Source organism: Homo sapiens, chromosome 7, assembly GCF_000001405.40.
Source record: "Homo sapiens chromosome 7, GRCh38.p14 Primary Assembly".
NCBI lineage: Eukaryota > Metazoa > Chordata > Mammalia > Primates > Hominidae > Homo > Homo sapiens.
Window position 1 is genome coordinate 100253372 of NC_000007.14, and position 20909 is coordinate 100274280.

General features: G+C 52.6%; 1 long non-coding RNA gene and 1 pseudogene across 5 annotated transcripts in view, besides 5 other annotated features; both read right to left on the bottom strand.

Moving 5' to 3' along the window:
- Nucleotides 1-18861, bottom strand: part of CASTOR3P (CASTOR family member 3, pseudogene) — a 71580-nt pseudogene extending 52719 nt beyond the window's left edge. For 2 of the 4 annotated variants that reach the window (NR_028040.1, NR_028039.1), the window contains exon 1: nucleotides 18467-18861. The product of NR_028040.1 is annotated as a CASTOR family member 3, pseudogene, transcript variant 4 (transcript). The remainder of the gene's footprint in view (nucleotides 1-18466) is intronic. The other 2 variants (NR_166147.1, NR_028038.2) reach the window with 1 other exon arrangement.
- LOC105375426 (uncharacterized) lies at nucleotides 11496-14113 on the bottom strand. Its single transcript, XR_927809.2, has 2 exons — nucleotides 13245-14113; nucleotides 11496-11759 (listed from the first exon to the last, which is right to left on the bottom strand). It is a non-coding gene; the product is annotated as an uncharacterized LOC105375426 (long non-coding RNA).
- Nucleotides 15908-16430: an enhancer, noted in NCBI's record as "H3K27ac-H3K4me1 hESC enhancer chr7:99866902-99867424 (GRCh37/hg19 assembly coordinates)". NCBI's record gives its function as "activates a minimal SCP1, AML or CMV promoter by ChIP-STARR-seq in naive H9 embryonic stem cells {active_cell/tissue: H9 hESC(naive)}" and the evidence as "EXISTENCE:reporter gene assay evidence [ECO:0000049][PMID:30033119]".
- Nucleotides 16955-17476: an enhancer, noted in NCBI's record as "NANOG-H3K27ac-H3K4me1 hESC enhancer chr7:99867949-99868470 (GRCh37/hg19 assembly coordinates)". NCBI's record gives its function as "activates a minimal SCP1, AML or CMV promoter by ChIP-STARR-seq in naive and primed H9 embryonic stem cells {active_cell/tissue: H9 hESC(naive and primed)}" and the evidence as "EXISTENCE:reporter gene assay evidence [ECO:0000049][PMID:30033119]".
- Nucleotides 18345-18394: a silencer, noted in NCBI's record as "silent region_18427". NCBI's record gives its function as "represses an Ori minimal core promoter by ATAC-STARR-seq in GM12878 lymphoblastoid cells {active_cell/tissue: GM12878}" and the evidence as "EXISTENCE:reporter gene assay evidence [ECO:0000049][PMID:35858748]".
- Nucleotides 18455-18774: a silencer, noted in NCBI's record as "silent region_18428". NCBI's record gives its function as "represses an Ori minimal core promoter by ATAC-STARR-seq in GM12878 lymphoblastoid cells {active_cell/tissue: GM12878}" and the evidence as "EXISTENCE:reporter gene assay evidence [ECO:0000049][PMID:35858748]".
- Nucleotides 19055-19144: a silencer, noted in NCBI's record as "silent region_18429". NCBI's record gives its function as "represses an Ori minimal core promoter by ATAC-STARR-seq in GM12878 lymphoblastoid cells {active_cell/tissue: GM12878}" and the evidence as "EXISTENCE:reporter gene assay evidence [ECO:0000049][PMID:35858748]".

Below are 20909 nucleotides of genomic sequence, written 5' to 3' on the forward strand. Positions count from 1 at the left end.
GCTGAGATTACAGGTGTGAGCCACTGCGCCCGGCCGGTGCTGGCTTTAGAGAACTAACACTCGTTGGTAGCATAAACTTGGGGAAGATCCTAATGGTTGAATTTTTTTGTTGTTATTTAAAGTCAAGGTCTCGCTCTGTCGCCCACGCTGGAGTGCACTGCCAGCCTCAAACTCCTGGGCTCGAGAGATTCTCCCACCTTGCCCTCCAGAGTAGCTGGGACTACAGGCGTATGCCACCATACCTGGCTAAATTTTTAAAAATTTAAAAAATTTTTTCGAGATGGGGGTCTTACTACATTGTCCAGGCTGGTCTCCAACTCCTGACCTCAAGTGATCCTCCCTCCTTGGTCTCCCAAAGTGCTGGGATGACAGGCGTGAGCCACTGCACCTGGCCAAACCATTTGTTTTTCATGGGATATTCTAGGAACACACGTGGTGTGCAGGGCAGGGCCTGCAGTACAGGTAGGAGCTGTGCTGTCTTAAAATCACCACCTTCTCCCAGACCCACATTTTTGGAAGGGGGCATAAGGGGCAGGTGATCAGAAGCACCACAGGCAGTATCTGAGCTCAGTGCATGGCCTCTTGGGCTCTAGATATGGGAACCTTCTGCAACACTGAGACCTGCAGCCATGCTTTTTTTTTTTTTTTTTTTTTTTTTTTTTTTTTGAGACAGTCTCGCTCTGTTGCCCAAGCTGGAGTGCAGTGGTGCGATCTCGGCTTACCATAATCTCCACCTCCTGGCTTCAAGCAATTCTCTGCCTCAGCCTCCCGAGTAGCTGGGATTACAGGCATCCACCACCACACCTGGCTAATTCTTTTTTTGTATTTTTAGTAGAGACGGGGTTTCACCATCTTGGCCAGGCTGGTCTTGAACTCCTGACCTTGTGATCCACCCCTGCAGGCATGTTCTAAAGACAGTATCCAGCTGGGTGCGGCAGCTTACACCTGTCATCCCAGCACTTTGGAAGGCCAAGGAGGGCTGATCACTTGAGGTCAGGAGTTCAAGACCAGCCTGGCCAACATGGCGAAACCCCATCTCTACTAAAAATACAAAAAAATTAGCTGGGTGTGGTGGTGCGCGCCTGTAGTCACAGCTACTTGGGTGGCTAAGGCAGGAGAATCGCTTGAACCGGGAAGGTGGAGGTTGCAGTGAGCCGAGATCACACCACTGCCCTCCAGCCTGGGCGACAGAGTGAGACTCTGTATCAAAAAAAATCCAAATAAATAAATAAATAAAGGTGGCATCCATGTCTCAGTGAGCATCTGCTGAAGAAGTAAATGGAAAGCTGAAATTGGCTAAAATGATTTAAGAAAAAAAGAGCTGGCCAGATGCAGTGGCTCACACCTGTAATCCCAGCACTTTGGGAGGCCAAGGCGGGCGGATCACCTGAGGTCAGGAGTTCGAGACCAGCCTGGCCAACATGGTGAAACCCTATCTCTACTAAAAATACAAAAAGATCAGCCAGGTGTGGTGGTACATGCCTGTAGTCGCAGCTACTCAGGAGGCTGAGGCAGGAGAATTGTTTGAACTGGGGAAGTGGAGGTTGCAGTGAGCCAAAATTGCACCACCGCCCTCCAGCCTGGGTGACAGAGTGACACTCTGTCTCAAAAAAATCCAAATAAATAAATAAATAAAGGTGGCATTGGTGTCTTGGTGAGCATCTGCTGAAGGAGTCAATGGAAAGCTGAAATTGGCTAAAATGATTTAACGAAAAAAGAGCTATCCAGGTATCCATCTGGAGCAACCACCTGTGGTATATGCGGTGCTGGGCTTGGTCTCTCCATGATGCCATCTAACCCTCAGGCCATCCTAAGGAAGGTTCTGCCATGCCCCTCTGCAGACGGGACACTGAGACCTGGGGGGTAATGGAACATGTTCACTGTCACAGTTAGCAAGGGCAGAGCTGGGATGAGAGGATCAGGGCAGAACTGAGATCTCCTGACAATGATTCCTTTTTTTTTTTTTTTTTGAGACAGGCTTTTTCTCAATCTCTGTCCCCCAGGCTGGAGTGCAGTGGCATGATCCTGGCTTACTGCAGCCTCAACCTCCCGGGCTCAAGTGATCCTCCCACCTAAGCCTCCAGAATAGTTGGGACTACAGGCAGGAATCACCATGCCCAGCTACTTCTTGTATATTTTTTTGTAGAGATGGGGGTCTCGCTATGTTGCCCAGGCTGGTCTCGAGCTTCTAAGCTCAAGCAATCCCATCACCTCAGCCTCCCAAACTGCTGAGATTACAGGTGTGAGCCACTGCCCCCAACCCCCTGACAGTGACTCTTGAAAGGGGCTCAACTTTTGCTTCTGTGGGAGCCCCGAGGACCAGAACCAGACCTGCCCTGAGAAGGGGCTAGACCTCCCATCTTTCAGAGTCTCACTGGCTCACCCTTCATAGAGAGAGGAGTGGCACAGTCTAGAGTGGTTCTTCTTTTTTTTTTGAGACAGGGTCTCACTCTGTCGCCCAGGATGGAGTGCTGTGGCTTAATCTCAGCTCACTGCAATCTCTACCTCTTGGGTTCAAACAATTCTTATGCCTCAGCCTCCTGAGTAGCTGGGATTACAGGTGTGCACCATCACACCCAGCTAATTTTTGTATTTTTAGTAGAGACGGGGTTTCTACTAACCCCATGGGCCAGGCTGGTCTTGAACTCCTGACCTCAGGCGATCCGACTGCCTCGGCCTCCCAAAGTGCTGGGATTACAGGTGTGAGCCACTGTGCCCAAGTGGCTCTTAAATCAGACTTCTGAGTCCAAAGCTAGCTTCTTCGACTAAGTTATACAGATGGCTTTAGGGAGGTTCCTCACCCTCTGGGGCCTCGGTTTCCTTATCTGTGACAAGGGGGAGGTCACATACCCACCTGAGTTGATAATGCATCCAAAGGGCATGGCGGTGGGCCTGGCCCATAGGAACCTGAGTCAAGGGGAGCCTGTCATCTTCATCAACAGCAGTGAGAGGAGCAGGAAGGGAGGTGTTGGCTCCTGGGTCCCTGGGGCCCTTCCTCCAGGGATCCACCATCAGAGGGTGCCCTCCCAAAGGTGGGGAGATGGCAGCTGGCCTGTTGTTCTGTATCACCCAGCACTTCAACTCTCCCAGGCAACCATGGTTGGCGGGTCCCAATTTCTACTGAGATCACCCCATGTAGTTCACATGGCGAGGGTCCCACACCCCAGCCTCACCACTTCCATCAAGCCAAACGCTTCCCATTTCCAGCCCAATGATGCTACTAACTTCCCTGCCCCTCCTTGGAGATCCCCAACCCCAAATAACCTCCCCTGATCTCCAGGGTCTCTTGGTGACAATACCTGCCTGCCTGCCTGAGCTAAGGGGGTCCGTTGCTTCTATCAGTCTCAATGCCCCAGAAACTGAGCGAAAACCCAAGTATTGACGGCCTACTGAACGCAAAGTCTGAGTCTGACCCTGGTATTCTATTCCTTGGTTTTTAGAACGCCTCCAGACACAGATGAGGGCTGAAGGCTCAGAAAGGCCGGGTCAGGCCAGGCGAGGTGGCTCACGTCTGAAATCACAGCACTTTTGGAGGCCAGGGCAGGAGGATCGTTTGAGGCCAGGAGTTTGAGGCCAGCCTAGGCAACAAAGTGAGACCCTGTCTCTACAAAATATTGTAAAAATTAGCCAGGTGTGGTGGCATACACGTGCGGCCCCAACTATTCAGGAGGCTGAGGCAGGAGGATCCCTTGAGTCCAGGAGCTGCAGTGAGCTATGATTTTGCCACTGTACTCTGGCCTGGGTGATCGAGCGAGACCTGTCTTCAAAAGAAAACAAGAAAGGCAGGGTGACCTGCCCAGGGATATGTGGTAGGAACAGCAGAGTGGAGAGAGAGCGCTTGATAAGGTGCCTTGTTGGGAAACATTCCCCACATCATGGTGCCATGGGAACCACATAAGCAGGTCAAGTGTGCCTCACTCAAGCACTCAGGAACCAAGTTTGCAGAGGGGGTCAGGGCAGGAGATGCACACGACTCCCAGCCAACCCCACACTCTGGACCTGGGGCACCTGCTAAGCGCTTTCTCTGTAAGATCTCACTTAAACCTCCCGTGAACAGCCCTGTAACGTGGGTGCCATCACCTTCTTCATTCTTCTACAGAAACTGACAAATAAAGGCAGTTAAACCAGGCTAATTTGGACTGACGGGCTGGGTGGGGGGCGGGGCGGGGCGGGGACGTCATCAGAGAGAAGCTGCAGGAGGGAAATTGTAGACTAGAACAAAGTCTGAAGAGGGTGGAGAAAAGCACAGATTTAAAAGAAAGAAAGAAATGTGGCTGGGCATAGTGGCTCACGCCTGTAATCCCAGCACTTTGGGAGGCTGAGGCGGGTCGATCACCCGAGGTCAGGAGTTTGAGACCAGCCTGGCCAACATGGCGAAACCCCATCTCTACTAAAAATGCCAAAATTAGCTGAGTGTGGTGGTGCACACCTGTAATCCCAGCTACTCGGGAGGCTGAGGCAGGAGAATCGCTCAAACCCAGGAGTCAGAGTTTGCAGTGAGCTGAGATTGCGCCACTGCACTCCAGCCTGGGAGACAGGGTGAGACTCTGTCCCCGCCACCAAAAAAAAAAAAAAAAAATGCGTTTTACTGCCTGCAAGCTTGAGTTCTCCCTCCAGCACCCTACCCACCAGGGCTCCTCAGAGGCCTGGCTTGAGGAACGGATACGGTAGCCTTGTCATCTGCAGGTGACACCAGGCCTGCAGCTTGTTCTGAGGTGTCACCCCCTTATTCTTTTTTTGTTTTTTTTTTTTTTGAGACAGAGTCTCACTCTGTTGCCCAGGCTGGAGTGCAGTGGTGCGATCTCTGCTTACTGCAACCTCCTCTTCCCGGGTTCAAGCAATTCTCCTGCTTCAGCCTCCCAAGAAGCTGGGACTACAGGCGTGCACCACCACACCCGGCTAATTTTTGTATTTTTAGTAGAGACGGGGTTTTACCATATTAGCCAGGCTGGTCTCGAACTCCTGACTTTGTGATCCGCCTGTCTCAGCCTCCCAAAGTGCTGGGATTACAGGCGTGAACCACCACGCCCAGCCCACACACCCCCTCATTCTTGACTGTGCTGCTCTAGTGGACGAAACAGCCCAAAAGCATTGCTCAGTTGGGAGGGGGTGGAGGGAGTCCAGCCTGGGTGTGTGCAAAGGAGTCACCCAGGAAACTCACCGCGGGATCTGCCCTTACAGATGCACTCGCCTGGGGCCAAGCCCTGGGTGGCTGGGGCAGGTTACCCGGAGGCCCAGGGGCCAAATGCAGGAGCAAGTTCCCATCAGGAAAGGGGAAGAGCGAATCAGAGATCCAGCTCCTGCATGCAGGGGAGTGGGCACGGGCAATCCCCTTACCCCAGGGTCGTTCCCCAGCCTCACCTCGAAGGCAATGAAGGAGGGTAGAGTCTGAGGGCACCCCTGACACCTCCACCTGTCCCCATCCCCTATCAGCGTTCCACATTCCAGTGCAGGCCCAAAATTCTAACCCCAAAGAAGAAGCGTGGTGGGGTACGCTTCTTCCCACTTTTTTTTTTTTTCTTGAGACTGGGTCTCACTTTGTCAACCAGGCTGGAGTGCAATGGTGTCAGCATAGCTCACTGCAGCCTCCAACTCCTGGGCCCAAGTGATCCTCCTGTCTCAGCCTCCAGAGTAGCTGGGGCTACAGGTGTGCACTACCACGTCTGGCTAGTTTTTAAAATTTCTTGTAGAGACGGGGTCTGGCTATGTTGCCCCAAATGGTCTTGAATTCCTGGCCTCAAGCGATCCTCTTGCCTCCACCTCCCAAAGTGCTGGGATTATAGGCGTGAGCCACCGCACTGGGCCTTGATTTCACATTTGAACTCTCCCACATTAAAAAAAAAAAATTATTAAAAAAAAAATAGGCCCAGCGTGGTAGCTCATACTTGTAATCCCAGCACTTTAGAAGGCCAAGGTAGGAGAATTGTCTGAGCTCAGGAGTTCAAGACCAGCCTGGGGAACATGGTAAAACCCCAACAGGATGGATTTGATTCCTATACAAATTGAAGCTCCCCTGCCAAGGAGGGCCTGCCTGGAGGGGATGAGACCTTCGTTCTGAGGCCTCAGGGTCAGTGGATCAGGAGTGGGGGAGCTAGAATAGAAGCGGACAGCCTGGGCATGGGGACTCACGCCTGTAATCCCAGCACTTTGGGAGGCCAAGGCAGGTGGATCACCTGAGGTTCGGAGTTCAAGACCAGCCTGGCCAACATGGTGAAACCCTGACTCTACTGAAAATATAAAAATTAGCCAGGCATGGTGGTGTACACCTGTAATCCCAGGGAGGACTGAGGCAGGAGAATCACTTGAACAAGGGAGGCGGAGGTTGCAATGAGCCAAGATTGCACCATTGCACTCCAGCAGGCTGAATGACAGAGCAAGACTCTGTCTCAAAAAAAAAAAGAAAAAGAGGACAAGACATGGCAGTCAGCGCGCAGAGGAGGGGCGACTGGAGAACGACTGGGGGTCAGACGGGCAGGACCTGGGTGGGCTGGGTGGGAGGAGGGCTGGATGTGGCGCTGTGCACCAGGGAGGGGACACAGAAGCAGGGGGCAGTCTGGGAGGAAGACTTGCAAGCACCATATGGGGACACAGTAGACACCCAGAGTGTCCAGGCACCCTGCAGGCAGAGCTGCTGTGCAGGGCAGAGAAGGGTGCCCAAGACGTTGCTGGGAGCAGAGAAGTCACACCTTCCTCAAGGCCGGCTGGAGGACGCAACGGCTCTTTGTGTTCCAAGAAGCAGCTCTTACCAGGGGGCTGCCTGCCTGGCCCCAAAGTTTCTCCAGTCTCCTTACTATAGACCCCTCCCCTCCTGCCAGCCTCCCGCATCCCCACAGCTCAGCCAATCTGAAACAAATAAACAGCTTCCCTTCCTCCAATAAAAATCAGCCATCCTGCAATTGTCAGATGTGCCCTTCCAGTGCTTCCAAAGCAGAACAGACCATCCGTGCCATGGGGACAGAGGCCACCACTGCCACCTCGCCGAGGCCTGCATCAAGTAGAGGGCACCTCAATAAACATCCATTGAATTTCTGTGAATAATAGGTTCACTATGTAATCAACACCTCACTAAGTCCCTAACATAAAATTCCCCATTTAATTCTCACAACCACCCAAGATGTTGATAGTATTATCTCCAGTTATTTTTTGGTAGAGATGGGGTCTCACTATGTTGTCCAGCTGATCTCAAACTCCTGAGCTCAGGCAATCCTCCCGCTTCCTCAGGCAAGACCTCCCAAAGTGATGGGATTACAAGTGTGAGCCACCATGCCTCACTTTATTCCTATTTTAAAGATGAAGCCAGGCCACAGTGTGGTGGCTCACGCCTATAATTCTACCACTTTGGGAGGTCAAGGCAGGAGAATTGTCAGAGCTCAAGAGTTCGAGACTGGCCTGGGCAACATAGTAAGACCCTGTTGCTACTAAAAATCTTTTTTAAAAATTAGCTGGGCATGACGGTGCACACCTGTGGTCCCAGCTACTTGGAAGGCTGAGGCAGGAGGATTGCTTACGCCTGGAACGTTGAGGCTGCAGTGAGCTATGCTCATGCCACTGCATTCTAGCATAGATAACAGAGCCAGACCCTCCTTGGAGGTTCTAAGTTGCCCAAGATCACATGGCTGGTGGGTTGTGGGAATTTGGATAAAAACACATTTTCCTGTTATGTGCATATCCTGAGAAATGACCCTCGGCATAAGCTTTTCCATCTTGGGTTAACAGTGGAAAGGAGTGGAGGGCATAGGCGGGGAGGAGTTCGGAGTGGGGGGGCCAAGGCTGAACCCTAAACTGCTGTTGTCCATTGTGTGACTTGGGGGCAGACAGCTCCTTCCTGTAGAGCTGCTATGAGGGTGAATGATGGGAACTCCCAGCGGAGGCCTCATGCATAGTGGGTGTTCGAGAAGGAACTGCCATGGCTGGGAGCAGTGGCTCACGCTTATGATCTCAGCCCTTTGGGAGGCCGAGGCAGGTGGATCACCTGAGGTCAGGAGTTCGAGACCAGCCTGGCCTACATGGTGAAACCCCATCTCTACTAAAAAATACAAAAATTAGCTGGGTGTGGTGGCACATGCCTGTAGTCCCAGCTACTCGGGAAGCTGAGGCAGGAGGATCACTTGAGCCCAGGTGGCAGAGGCTGTATTGAGCTGAGATTGCACTGCACTCCAGCCTGGGCGATAGAGTAAGACCGTGTCTAAAAAAAAAAAAAAAAATACGGGAACATCAGACACTGGGGACTCCAATAGAGGTTGGGAAGGGGAGGAAGGTTAAAAAAATTACCTATCGGGTACAATGTTCACTATTTGGGTAATGGGCGTACTAGAGGCCCAGTCCCTACCAGTATGCCATATATGCATGTAACAAACATGCACGTGTACCTCTTGAATCTAAAATAAAATAAAATCTTAAACATTAATTTTAATTTTTATTTTTTTGAGACAAGGTCTGGCTCTACTGCCTGGCTGGAGTACGGTGGCACAATCTCGGCTCACTGCAGCCTCCACCTCCTGGGGTCAAGCGATCCTTCCACCTCAGCCTCCTGAGTAGCTAAGACCACAGGTGCATGCCACTATGCCCAGCTACATTTTGTATATTTTGTAGAGATGAGGTTTCACCATGTTGCCCAGGCTGGTCTCCAACTTGTGAGCTCAACCAATCTACTCGCCTCAGCCTCCCAAAGTGCTGGGATTACAGGCATGAGCCACCACGCCTGGCCTCAAATTTTATTAATTGTTGTAAAATACACACAACAAAACCTACCATCTTAACTATCTTTAAGTGTGCAATTCAATCGTGTTAAGCACGTTTGCAATACGGACAGCAACTGCCACCATCCATCTCTAGAACTCTTCATCTTACCCAACAGGAACTCCATACCCACTAAACACCAACTCCCCAGCTCTTGGCAACCACCATTCTTTCTGTCTCTATGACTCCGGCTACACCAGGTATTTCATACAAGTGGGATCTCATGCAGTATTTGTTCTTTTGTGACTAGTTTATTTCACTCAGCATGATGTCTTCAAGGTTCATTCATGTTGTAGCATGTGTCAGAATTTCCTTCCTTTTTCCCCTCTGAATAATATTCCTCTGTGTGAATACATCCCATTTTGTTGATCTGTTCATCCATCAGTAGACACCTGGGTCACTTCCACCTTTAGGCCTTAGTGAATAAGGTTGCTGTAAATGTGGGTGCATGGCCAGGCGCGGTGGCTCATACCTGTTATCCCAGCACTCTGGGAGGCCGAGGCTGGTGGATCACTTGAGGTCAGGAGTTCAAGACCAGCCTGGGCAACATGATGAAACCCCATCTCTACTAAAAATGCAAAAATTAGCCAGGTGTGGTGGCGTGCACCTGTAATCCCAGCTACTCGGGAGGCTGAGGGACCAGAATCGCTTGAACCCAGGAGATGGAAGTTGCAATGAGCCAAGATCGCACCATTGCACTCCAGCCTGGGTGACAGCAAGACCCTGTCTCAAAAAAAAAAAAAAAAAAAAAAATTGGGGTGTGCAAGCAAAACCTCAGGTTTTCGAGCAGAGATCTAGCTCAGAGGTTGGAGTATGTTCAATGTGTTATGGTGAGGGCAAGCCTGAGTATATATGGCACCTAGACACCAGTTTTCCATTTAGGCCAGGCACCGTAGCTCACACCTGTAATCCCAGCACTTTGGAAGGCTGAGGCAGGAGGATCACTTGGGTCCGGGAGTTCGAGACCAGCCTGGGCAACATAGCAAGACCCCATCTCTACAAAAAAAACAAAAATTATCTGGGTGTAGTGGTGAGTGCTTGCAGTCCCAGCTACTCAGTGGGGCTGAGGCAGGAGGATTGCTGGAGCCTGAGAAATCGAGGCTGGAGTGAGCTGGGATTGCATCACTGCACTCCAACTAGGGTGACACAGTGAGACCCTGTCTCAAGAATTTTTTTCAGGCCAGGTGCGGTGGCTCATGCCTGTAATTCCAGCACTTTGGGGAGGCCGAGGCGGGCGGGTCACGAGGTCAGGAGAGCAAGACCATCCTGGCTCACATGGTGAAACTCCGTCTCTACTAAAAATACAAAAAAATTAGCCGGGCGTGGTGGCAGGTGCCTGTAGTCCCAGCTACTCGGGAGGCTGAGGCAGGAGAATGGTGTGAACCCGGGAGGCAGAGCTTGTGGTGAGCCAAGATCGCACCACTCCACTCCAGCCTGGGGGACAGAGCCAGACTCTGTCTCAAAAAAAAAAAAAAAAAGAATGTTTTTCAAAAAGTTTTAATTTAGCACCGTGGATGGCCCACAGGGACCTTGGACACCCAGAATCCCACTGGCCCAGCGCGGATGCAACTGGGCTGGTTTCTCATACTGCAGATCTGTTATAAGAGAAAACCTTTCCAGCTGTGTGCAGGCTCAGAAGAGACCAATTAAACCTTTTACAAGGTTTTTTTGTTTTTGTTTTTGTTTTTTCTGAGATGGAGTTTCACTCTTGTCGCCCAGGCTGGAGTGTAGTGACATGATTTTGGCTCACTGCAACCTCTGCCTTCTGGGTTCAAGTGATTCTCCTGCCTCAGCCTCCTGAGTAGCTGGGATTACAGGCGCCCGCCACCACGTCGGCTAATTTTTGTATTTTTGGTAGAATCGGGGCTTCACCTTGTTAGCCAGGCTGGTCTCGAACTACTGACCTCAGGTGATGCACCTGCTTGGCCCTCCCACAGGTGCCAGGATTACAGGCGTGAGCCACTGCGCCCAGCTACAACTGACTTTTTTGATCCCTGGGAGATAAGTCAACACCGAGGGACGACCGGTCCTAAGCCCTGGACATGGACCTGGGGGTGAGGACAGAAGGGGATCAGGACCAGCCCTCTCATCCTGCACCCTGAGGCATGGGTGATCCCAGGAAGCCACTCACCAGGCACCAGGGTGGCTTCCTGGAGGAGAGGATGCTGAAGCCGACCTCAAGAAGTGTCTGTGTTAGGTTTAAGGACTCATGAGAGTTCTCTGGCTGGACTAAAGGTAGCATGATCACATAGTCAGGTTTGCCCTATTGTCTGCAGGTTGTTGTTATTATTGTTAAGATGATGATGATGATGATGATGATGATGATGAGACAGAGTCTCATTATGTTGTCCAGGCTGGAGTACAGTGGTGCAATCTCGGCTCACTGCAACCTCTACCTCCTAGGCTCAAGGAATCCTCCCACCTCAGCCTCCTAAGTAGTTGGGATCACAGGCAGGCGCCATCATACCTAGCTAATTTTTTTGTATTTTTTGCAGAGTCGGGGTCCCACCATGTTGCCTCCGCTGGTCTCCAATTCCTGAGCTCAAGCGATCAGCCTAAAGTGCTGGGATTACAGGCTTGCTGGGATTACAGGCATACTGGGATTACAGGCATGAGCCACTGCACTTGGCCAACCTAGTAATTATTTTAAGTACTTCCTGCTATTCTAAAAAATGTTTGTTCCCGTCTCAATGATAAATGGCAGGGTCATTTCATTCCTTATCTGTTGCTACATAACAAATTACCCCAAATCTTAGTGGCTTGAAACAACAACAAACTTTTATTATCTCTCACAGTTCCTATGGGTTAGGAATTTAGGTGTGGCTGAACTTGGCAGTTCAAGGCATTGGCTGGGGCTGCAATCCATTGGAAGGCTTGCCTGGGGCGAAAGGATCTGTTTTCAAAGCCCCGCTCTGCCGGTTGAGGGTGGGATGCCTCAGTTCCTCTCCATATGGGCCTCTCCATGGGGCTGCTTGGGTGTCCTCAGGCCTTGGGGGTTGGTTTCCCACAGAGCAAGGGATCTGGGAGAGAGGGAGCGCCACGCAGAAGCTATCGTTTTGTGCCCTAGCCTCGGAAGTCTTGCGGTATTGCTTTTACCATCTCCTAGTGACTTAGAAGAAAGTAGCCAAGACAGACATTTAAAGGAGAGGGGGGTGGAGGGATCCTAGCTTTTTTTTTTTTTTTTTGACACGGAGTCTGGCTCTGTTGCCCAGGCTGGAATGCAGTGGCGGGATCTCGGCTTCACGCCATTCTCCTGCCTCAGCCTCCTGAGTAGCTGGGAATACAGGCGCCCGCCACCACGCCCAGCTAATTTTTCTATTTTTAGTAGAGACGGGGTTTCACCGTGTTAGCCAGGATGGTCTCGATCTCCTGACCTTGTGATCTGCCCTCCTCGGTCTCCCAAAGTGCTGGGATTACAGGCGTGAGCCACGGCGCCCAGCCGATCCTAGCTTTTAAAACCACCAGCAGCTGGGAGCAGTGGCTCATGCCTGTAATCCCAGCACTTTGGGAAACCAAGAAGGGAGGATCACTTAAGGTCAGGAGTTTGAGACCGGCGTGGACAACAGAGTGAGACCCCCTCTGTACAAAAAAATCTAAAAACTACCACAGTTGGCCAGGTGCAGTGGCTCATGCCTGTAATCCCAGCACGTTGGGAGGCCAAGGCGGGCAGATCACTTGAGGTCAGGAGTTCAAGACCAGCCTGGCCAACTTGGTAAAACCCATCTGAATTAAAAATACAAAAAATTAGCTAGGCATGGTGGTGGTACCTGTAACCTCAGCTACTCAGGAGGCTGAGGCAGGAGCATCACTTCAACCCAGGAGGCAGAGGTTGCAGTGAGCCGAGATCGTGCCACTGTACTCCAGCCTGGGAGACAGAGTGTAACTCCATCTCCAAAAACAAAAGCAAAAGCAAAACAAAACAAAACTACCATGGTTACCTAAAATAGAGCATGTGTTGGGAAGGGAGTAGACAGAGCCAGAGTGGATAGACAGAAGACATCTGATCAAGAAAGAATTCAGGCCGGGAGTGGTGGCTCACGCTTGTAATCCCAGCACTTTGGAAGGCCAAGGTGGGTGGATCACCTGAGGTCAGGAGTTTGAGACCACCCTGGCCAACAAGGCAAAACCCCGTCTCTATTAAAATACAAAAAATTAGCCAGGCATGGTGGTGCATGCCTGCAATCCCAGCTACTCGGGAGGCTGAGGCACAAGAGTCACTTGAACCCAGGAAGCAGAGATTGCATGCAGTGAGCTGAGATCACGCCATTGCATTCCTGCTTGGGTGACAGAGTGAGACCCTGTCTGAAAAAACAAACAAAACCAACAAGGCAGAGATGTGGCCAGGGATTCTGAAGGAATGCATGAAGTCGACCCAGCACCCACTCCAGTTGTGTCCCTCCATCCTCCCGGACTCCCCCCCTGCCCCTGCACTCCCAGCCATGCCCCCTGTGCGGGCCTCTGGTCCTCTCACCCTCTACCTTTGCTGGAGAACACACAGGACTCACGTCTTTTCCTCCCATGGGACAGAAACTCCTTTCGCGCTTCCTATTAGGCCTTGCCTACAGCAGGTACACACTGCTGGGTTTCTGCGTGAACAGAGCATACCAATTTGCACCCACCACAGGACAGCGGCTTGTTCCCTGCAGACACCTTTCTCTTTCCAGCCTCCAGGCGTTTGCTCCTTCAGCCCAGAGGGATGGGGCAGCAATGAGCATTTGGGCTGCCCTAGAGGCAGGAGGCAGGAAGATATCTGGATAGTTCAGGAAAGAGATAAGGACAAAGGAAAAAGTCATAGGAAAAAGATTTGGGAGCTAGGGTTGAGCCAGCCCCTTTCTCTAGGCAGCAGCAGACTATGGCTGTCCTGAGTGGGCACACGCACGGCTCTGGGGCTCACCCTGTACACTCTTCACCCATACCCCTCCCCTGATCCATCTGTACCCACCCACTCCTGTTCTCTGCTTGCTCATCTTGCTTTATCCCCAGCACCTCCTGACATTTTCTCATGCCACCCATCACCCCATTCTTGGATCAGATGATGCCGCCTCCTCTAGGAAGCCTTACTGGCTTGCAGCTCTGTGGTCCTAGAGCATTTTGGCTGCCCCTGCCAGAGGCCTGACACCTAAATGACAGGTGAGGTCCTTGGCTTAGTTCTGTGAGAGCAGTGACAGCATCTCCACTTTCCAGAATCAGGATGCGTTATGTGTGTGTGTAAAAAGTCTTCTAAGCCTGGGCTTTTCTGGCTCTGCCCTCACAAACTGGTGCTGGCCAGTGGCCCCAGGGCCTTCCCAGTTAATGCTTAATGGCTGGGTACAGTGGCTCACACTTGTAATCCAGCACTTTGGGAGTTCCAGGTGTCTTTACTAAAAACACAAAAATTAGCCAGGCATGGTGGTAGAGAGCTGTAATCCCAGCTACTTGGGAAACTGAGGCAGGAGAATCGCTTGAACCTGGGAGACAGAGGTTACAGTGAGCTGAGATCATGCCACTGCACTCCAGCCTGGGCAACAGAGCAAGACTCTGTCTCAAAAAAAAAAAAAAAATGCTTATTGGAGCTTCTAGTAGACCAGATACTCTTGAGAGTGCTTGGCGTGGTTTATCTCATCAAGCCCTCACAACCACTTAGGTTGCAGGCATGATCATCATCCCTGTTTTACAGGTAAGAAACATAGCACAGAGAAGTCAAGCAACTTGCCCAAGGTCACACAGCCAGGATGAGCAGTGCTGGGATTCCAGCCGAGGTGTCCCAGGGCTCTAACTCCCTTGGGCTAGCCTGTCTTTCCCTAAAGGGCAATCAGACAGTGGCCTCAGCCCAATGTGCTCCGAGGAATGACGAGGGCTCTGCATGGACTTTTTGCAATTTTAAGCTTTTCTCTCATAAATGCCTCTTAAGACGTTAGTGTTCACTGGCCAGGCATGGTGGCTCACGCCTCCCAGCACTTTGGGAGGCCCAGATGGGCGGATCACAAGTTCAGGAGTTCGAGACCAGCCTGACCAACAGCTCATGCCTGTAACAGTTTAAATGTTATGTCCACACGCACCTCTGAGAGGCTGAGGTGGGAGGATCATGTGAGGCCAGGAGTTCAAGGCCAGCCCGGGCAACACAGTGAGACCCCCATCGCTACAAGAAATTTAAAAATTAGCTGAGTGTGGTGGTGCGCACCCGCAGTCCCAGGTGCTTGGGAGGCCGAGGTGAGAGGATTGCTTGAGCCTAGAAGTTCGAGGCTGCAGTGAGGTATGATGGTGCCACTGTACTTCAGCCTGGGCAACGGAGACCCCATCTCTTAAAAACAAACAAACAAAAAGCTCTAAGATCTAGTGCCACCTCCTACAGGTAGGCACCCAGCCTTCTAGGTACCCTGCTAGACCAGCCCTTCCCTGACTCCACCCTGCTGTAGAGTGATGGCCTCTTTCTTTCTCTTCCACCAGGCTCTAGGGCTTGGCAGAGGAAGGGGCAAGGTATCTCTGCATCCCTTGGACCCAGCCACACCCCCACACAGAGTGAATGTTTCCTAATGCCATTCCCTTTCCACAACTCCACTGCACGAGAGAGAAGTGACTTAAGTCTGCTAAGGGGCGGAGGGAAAGGTTCAGGAAGGTTTCAGCGTGCTATCATTAGCTCTTGAGGATTGAATAGGAATTTACTAGGGGTGGATGGGGGAGAATATTCCAGGCAGATGGAAGAGAGGTAGATACGAAGGCACAGAGGTATGTAGGGAACAATAAGGGAAATTGTGTATTTGCTGGGGGAGGGCTAAAGATGAGGATTCAAGGCCAGGAGCAGTAATCCCAGGACTTTGGGAGGTCGAGGTGGGAGGACTGCTTGAGCCCAGGAGTTGGAGGCTGTATTGATCTATGATGGCGCCACTGTACTCCAGCCTGTACGACAGAGCAAGACTCTGTCTCTAAAAGAGAAAAATAAAAAACAAAAAAATAAAGATGAGGATTCAGGATCTAGATCCCAAAGGGCCTCGAATGCCATGTCAACGATTTGATGCTATAGAGTGACTGACAAAACTGTAACCGGGCCGGGAGTGGTGGCTCACGCCTGGAATCCCAGCACTTTGGGAGGTGGAGGCCAGTGGATCACCTGAGGTCGGGAGTTCAAGACCAGCCTGACCAACATGGAGAAGCCCCGTCTCCACACAAAATTAGCCAGGCGTGGTTGTGCATGCCTGTAATCCCAGCTACTCGGCAGGCTGAGGTAGGAGAATCGCTTGAACCTGGGAGATGGAGGCTGCAGTGAGCTGAGATGGCACCACTGCACTCCAGCCCGGACAAGAGCAAAACTCCATCTCAAAAAAAAAAAAAAGAAAAGTAAACAGGTGGCACAGGGACCCTCAGGGCATGCTGTCCTAGTCTGGGCTAAACGTAGGTTTTGGAGAGGGAGGTGACAGAGCTATGGGTCACCACCTGGGGGCAGGTATTACAGGAAGAATCTAAGGGGTTCTACCTGGATGGCTGATTATTGAAAACAGTTTAAATGCTATGTTCGCAGGCTGCGACCCATTAACACTTGCTAAAAAGCCATTTCCCACAATCGTCCCACACCATCCACACAGCAGTTCTGTGTCCATGAGGGGGCCAAGTAGTGCTATCTCTATTTTACAGACGGACAAAGTGTGAGCCAGAGGAGAGACTTTGCCTCAGCCACGCAGGCAGCGGGCTCTGGTCACACATGACCTGAAGCCACGATCCGGGCTCAGAGTGCTTGGGGTGGCAGGTCCTCAGGCATTTGACGAATGTTCCGCACCTTCTGAGGCCGGACCATGGAAACAGAGATGGCCTTTGGCCTCTGAGTCATCTTGAAACTGGACTAGTCAGCTGGGTCACCTGGGCCTGGGACAGGACAGGCTGCTTTCTGCAGGAGGGAGGAAGGGGGACCCACTGAGGGACAGGTTTTCTTGTGTTCCCAGAGGCCAGCAGGGGGGCTTGACCCCAGAGACACGCCTATCCATGAGTACCCAAAGGGGACCCTGAGTTGGGGGCTGGAAGAAGGCCAGTCTCTCCACCAAGGGAAAGGGGCTGAGGGACCCTGCCCTTTGCTGCCTTTCTAAGAAGCCCCCAAATGCCCCCTCCTTCCAGCACCCAGGCCCTGTGCACAGCCGCAGCCTGAGTCATCATCCTCATTTGAATGGTGGCCGAGAAATCAGCCAGGGGGCTGCCCAGGGCTGAGGGCCAAGACTTGGAAAAACAAGGCTGTTCTGTTACCTCCAAGCCTTGGAACGTCCAGCCCGGCTAGGGAGTGGGGGGCAGAGGGCAGGCAGAAGCAGGATCTGAAGGTGTCAACAGCCAGAGGGGGCTTTGTGTGAGGGGTGGGGGCGCGGTTCAGAATCCGAGCTGTTGGCTTTTGTTTTCAAATGACCTGTTTAATCATTACCCTTTGCAATCAACGGGGAGCACAGGCTCCGTGGCAGAGGCTTGGCGACTATTTCAAATCTCCATCCCCTACTGAGCAGCCGGAGAAGAAAGTAAACAAGATGCCACCGGCAGGTCTGGCTCCATCTCGCAAACAATAGCCGGACTGAGCACCCGGCTCAGACACACACATCAAAGTGAGATTTCCAAGCCAGAACTTTTCACAGGCAGATAACAGGCTGGGATGGAATTATTTCCCTGTGTCCCTTGAGCTCAGTGCCAAAGGGGGCAGCCTACAGGGGCTGTCATTTTCACGCTAACCTTGACCCGAAACGTATTCATTCATTTTGCAGTGAGGGAGAGCCACCACCGCCCCAAACCGCGAAAAACCAACCAGTAACAACTTTATCATTCCTTTTTAACAGTCACAATCGTGGGCAAATGAGACTTAAGTTACAGCAGCTAGCTGGCACTCACACTCCCCTCGGCTCAGGGTCCTTAAACAACAACAACAAAACCCTAATGCAAGCACCCACCGGGGCTCACAATGTCAAACCCTTACCTGGCATAGGGAAAATCCAAGTGAGAGAGAGAGTGAGTGTCTGTGTGTGTGTGTGTGTGATTCCATCTGTTACCTTCCAAGGCCTTCAACTATTTTTCCCCCAGCAGCATCCAAGCCCAGCCTCAAGGCAGATGCATAAACATGCCTGCTCCTCCCCTTCTACGGTTGGGCAAAACATCCCCCCACCCCCTTTCCAGGACCCCAAGGAGAAAGAATCACGTCCTCTGTAGCCCCTCCCTGGCCCTCGCCTACCCCCCGTTTCCCCCCCAATTCCAGGCCGTCCGCAGCAAGCCTCGTAGGCACCTTGAGATAAACACCCACTAATGATTTTATGATTTTCTGCTCTGGGTAACCGCGCTCAGCGGAATCCCTCCCCACGCCGTGGCGACGGGGGCCGGCCCAACCGAGGGATGGGGGTATGGGGGCGTTTGTTTTTTCCACGGCCTCGTCCCCACACCTGTTTTTCATTCATTCATTCGTTCGTTCCTTCATCCATTCACGGATCCGTCACTGCAGCCGCCCCAGCCCCCCGGATTTCGGGAAGGGGGCTGCGATGGGGGAGGGGGTGGGAGATGGGGGGGACGACAGAGGTGGGGGGTGGCGCACCGAGGGGTGGAGGGTTGCGAGGGGTCCGGGAGCCAGGACCCTGCGGCTCCGGCTTTGTCAGACGCGAGCGAAGCGGCGGCGGGGGCGGGGCGGGGGCGCTCCCGGGGCCCGAAGTTGTCTTCCGAGGCGCGGCGGCGAGGACAGCGGCCCGGGGTGCGCCCCCTTTGTCTGTCCCCGGCAGGCGCCGCGTCCCCGCGCGCTTACCTGGTCTTGGAGAACAGGAAGGCAAGTTTGATCAGGCCCGTAGGTGAACAGCGGGATACTCTCCTTGGCGACGCTGGCAACTTGCAGCCGGTGCTCCAGGATGTGGAGTTCCATCGTCCGCCCGCGCCCCGTCCGCGGCAGCTCATCCGCTGGGGGACGAGCCGCGGCCCCCGCCCCCTCCGCGCCCTGCCGGCACCGACAGCCGGCCCGGGGACCCGGGAGCTCGGCGCCAGGCGCGGGGGGCGGCGGCGGCCGGACCGGGCCGGACAAAAGGGAGGAGGCCCGCCAAGTTGCGAGGGGGAGCCACGGGTCGAGGGAGGCAGCGCCGGCGGAGCAGCGGCGCGCGGGTGCCGGCGCGGGGAGCAGCTGGTGTTCGCTGTAACAAACAACTTGCCACTCAAACGCCGGTCCCCACTGCGCATGCGCGGTCCGCGCGCGGCCTGCCAGGACTTGTAGTCCGCCTGCGGGGCTCTCCCGGTGCTGCTGCTGCTGCTGCCGCCGCCGGGCGGCCGGAGCTACCGGCAGCCCGATGCACGGGAAATGCAGGAGAGCGGGCACCCTCAGGACCACGGGGAAGGCCGAGGGGAGGCACGGGGCGGGTGGAGCCAGCCTGAGCCTAGGCGCGCCCTCTGGCACCCACTCAGGCTCGGTACTAGGCGCTTGGAGTGTAAAGCGAGCAAACCAGACGACTCCGGTGCTGGAGAAGGCCCGAGTCTGGGAGCGCCAAGATGTAGGGCAATCGGTCATGAGAGTGCAGAGAAGCCAAACCAAAAAGCTTGCTGGGGACCCGGAGGGAGGGGATTGACAGGTCAAAGGGGGTGACCTGGGGGGAGGGGGACACTCAGGCTGGGTTTTGAAGGATGAATGGGAGTTCGTAGCAAGGGAGTGAGGGCGCGCGGTTGAAGGACAGAAGCCTTCGGGAGGCTGAGGCAGGTGGATCGCCTGATGTCAGAAATTTGAGACCAGCCTGGTCAACGTGGTGAAACCCTGCCTCTACTAAAAATACAAAAGTTAGCAGGGCATGCTGGTGAGTGACTGTAATCTCAGCTACTCAGGAGGCTGAGGCAGGAGAATCGCTTGAACCTGGGAGGCGGAGGTTGCAGTGAGCTGAGATTGCACCACTGACTCCAGCCTAGGCAATAGAGTGAGAGTTCATCTCGAAGAAACAAAACAAACACAGTACAAACCAAAAAACAAAACCCAGCTGGGTGCAGTGGCTCACGCCTATCATCCCAGCATGTTGAGAGGCTTGAGTTGGGCAGATCACTTGAGGTCAAGAGTTCAAGACTAACCTGGTCAACATGGTGAGATCCCGTCTCTACTAAAATTACAAAAAAATTAGCTGGGAACGGTCGCATGTGCCTGTAATCCCAGCTACTAGGGAGGCTGAGGCAGGAGAATCACCTCAACCTGGGAGATGGCAGTTGCAGTAAGCCAAGATGGCGACACTGCACTCCAGCCTGGGCGACAGAGTGAGTGAGACTATGTCTCAAAGAAACAAAAAAAAAAAAGAAAGAAAAATCTCCAAGTATGTTTGGAAGAGGTTGACCAACTGCCCTGATTTTCCTGGGACCAAGGAGAATTTCAAGATGTAAGACTTTCATTTTCGAAACCAGGACACTCTCCAGGAAGACAAGTTGGTCACAGGACTTTGAAACGATTTACTTATGTAAATCTATGAACTCTAAATACAGATCGAGTATTGTGAATGAAAATTGAGCATCCAAACTGAGATGTGCTATCGTGTAAAATGAACCCTGGATTGCAAAGATTATTATGAAAAAACTTTATTTTATTAATAATTTAAAAATATTGATTATATGTTGAAACACTTTTTTTTTTTTCTGAGATGGAGTCTCACTGTGTCACCCAGGCTGGAGTACAGTGGCGCAATCTTGGCTCACTGCAACCTCTGCCTCCTGTGTTCAAGTGATTCTCCTGCCTCAGCCTCCTGAGTAGCTGAGATTACAGGCATGCGCTACCACGCCCAGCTAATTTTTTTATAGCAGAGACAGGGTTTCACTGTGTTGGCCAGGCTAGTCTGGAACCCCTGACCTCAAGTGATCTGCCCGCCTCGGCCTCCAAAGTGTTGGGATTACAGGCATGAGCCCCCACACCGGCCTTTTTTTTTTTTTTTTGAAATGGAGTCTTGCTCCCTCGCCCAGGCTGGAGTGCAGCAGCACGATCTTGGCTCATTGCAACCTCTGCCTCCCGGATTCAAGCGATTCTCCTGCCTCAGCCTCCTGAGTACAAGTGCGCATCATCATGCCCAGCTAATTTTTGTATTTTTGGTAGAGACGGGGTTTCACCATGTTGACCAGGCTTGTCTCGAACTCCTGACCTCAGGTGATCTGCCTGCCTCAGCCTCACAGAGTGCTGGGATTACAGATGTGAACCACTGTGCCTGGCCAAAATGCTAATATTTTGGCAGCACTTTGGGAGG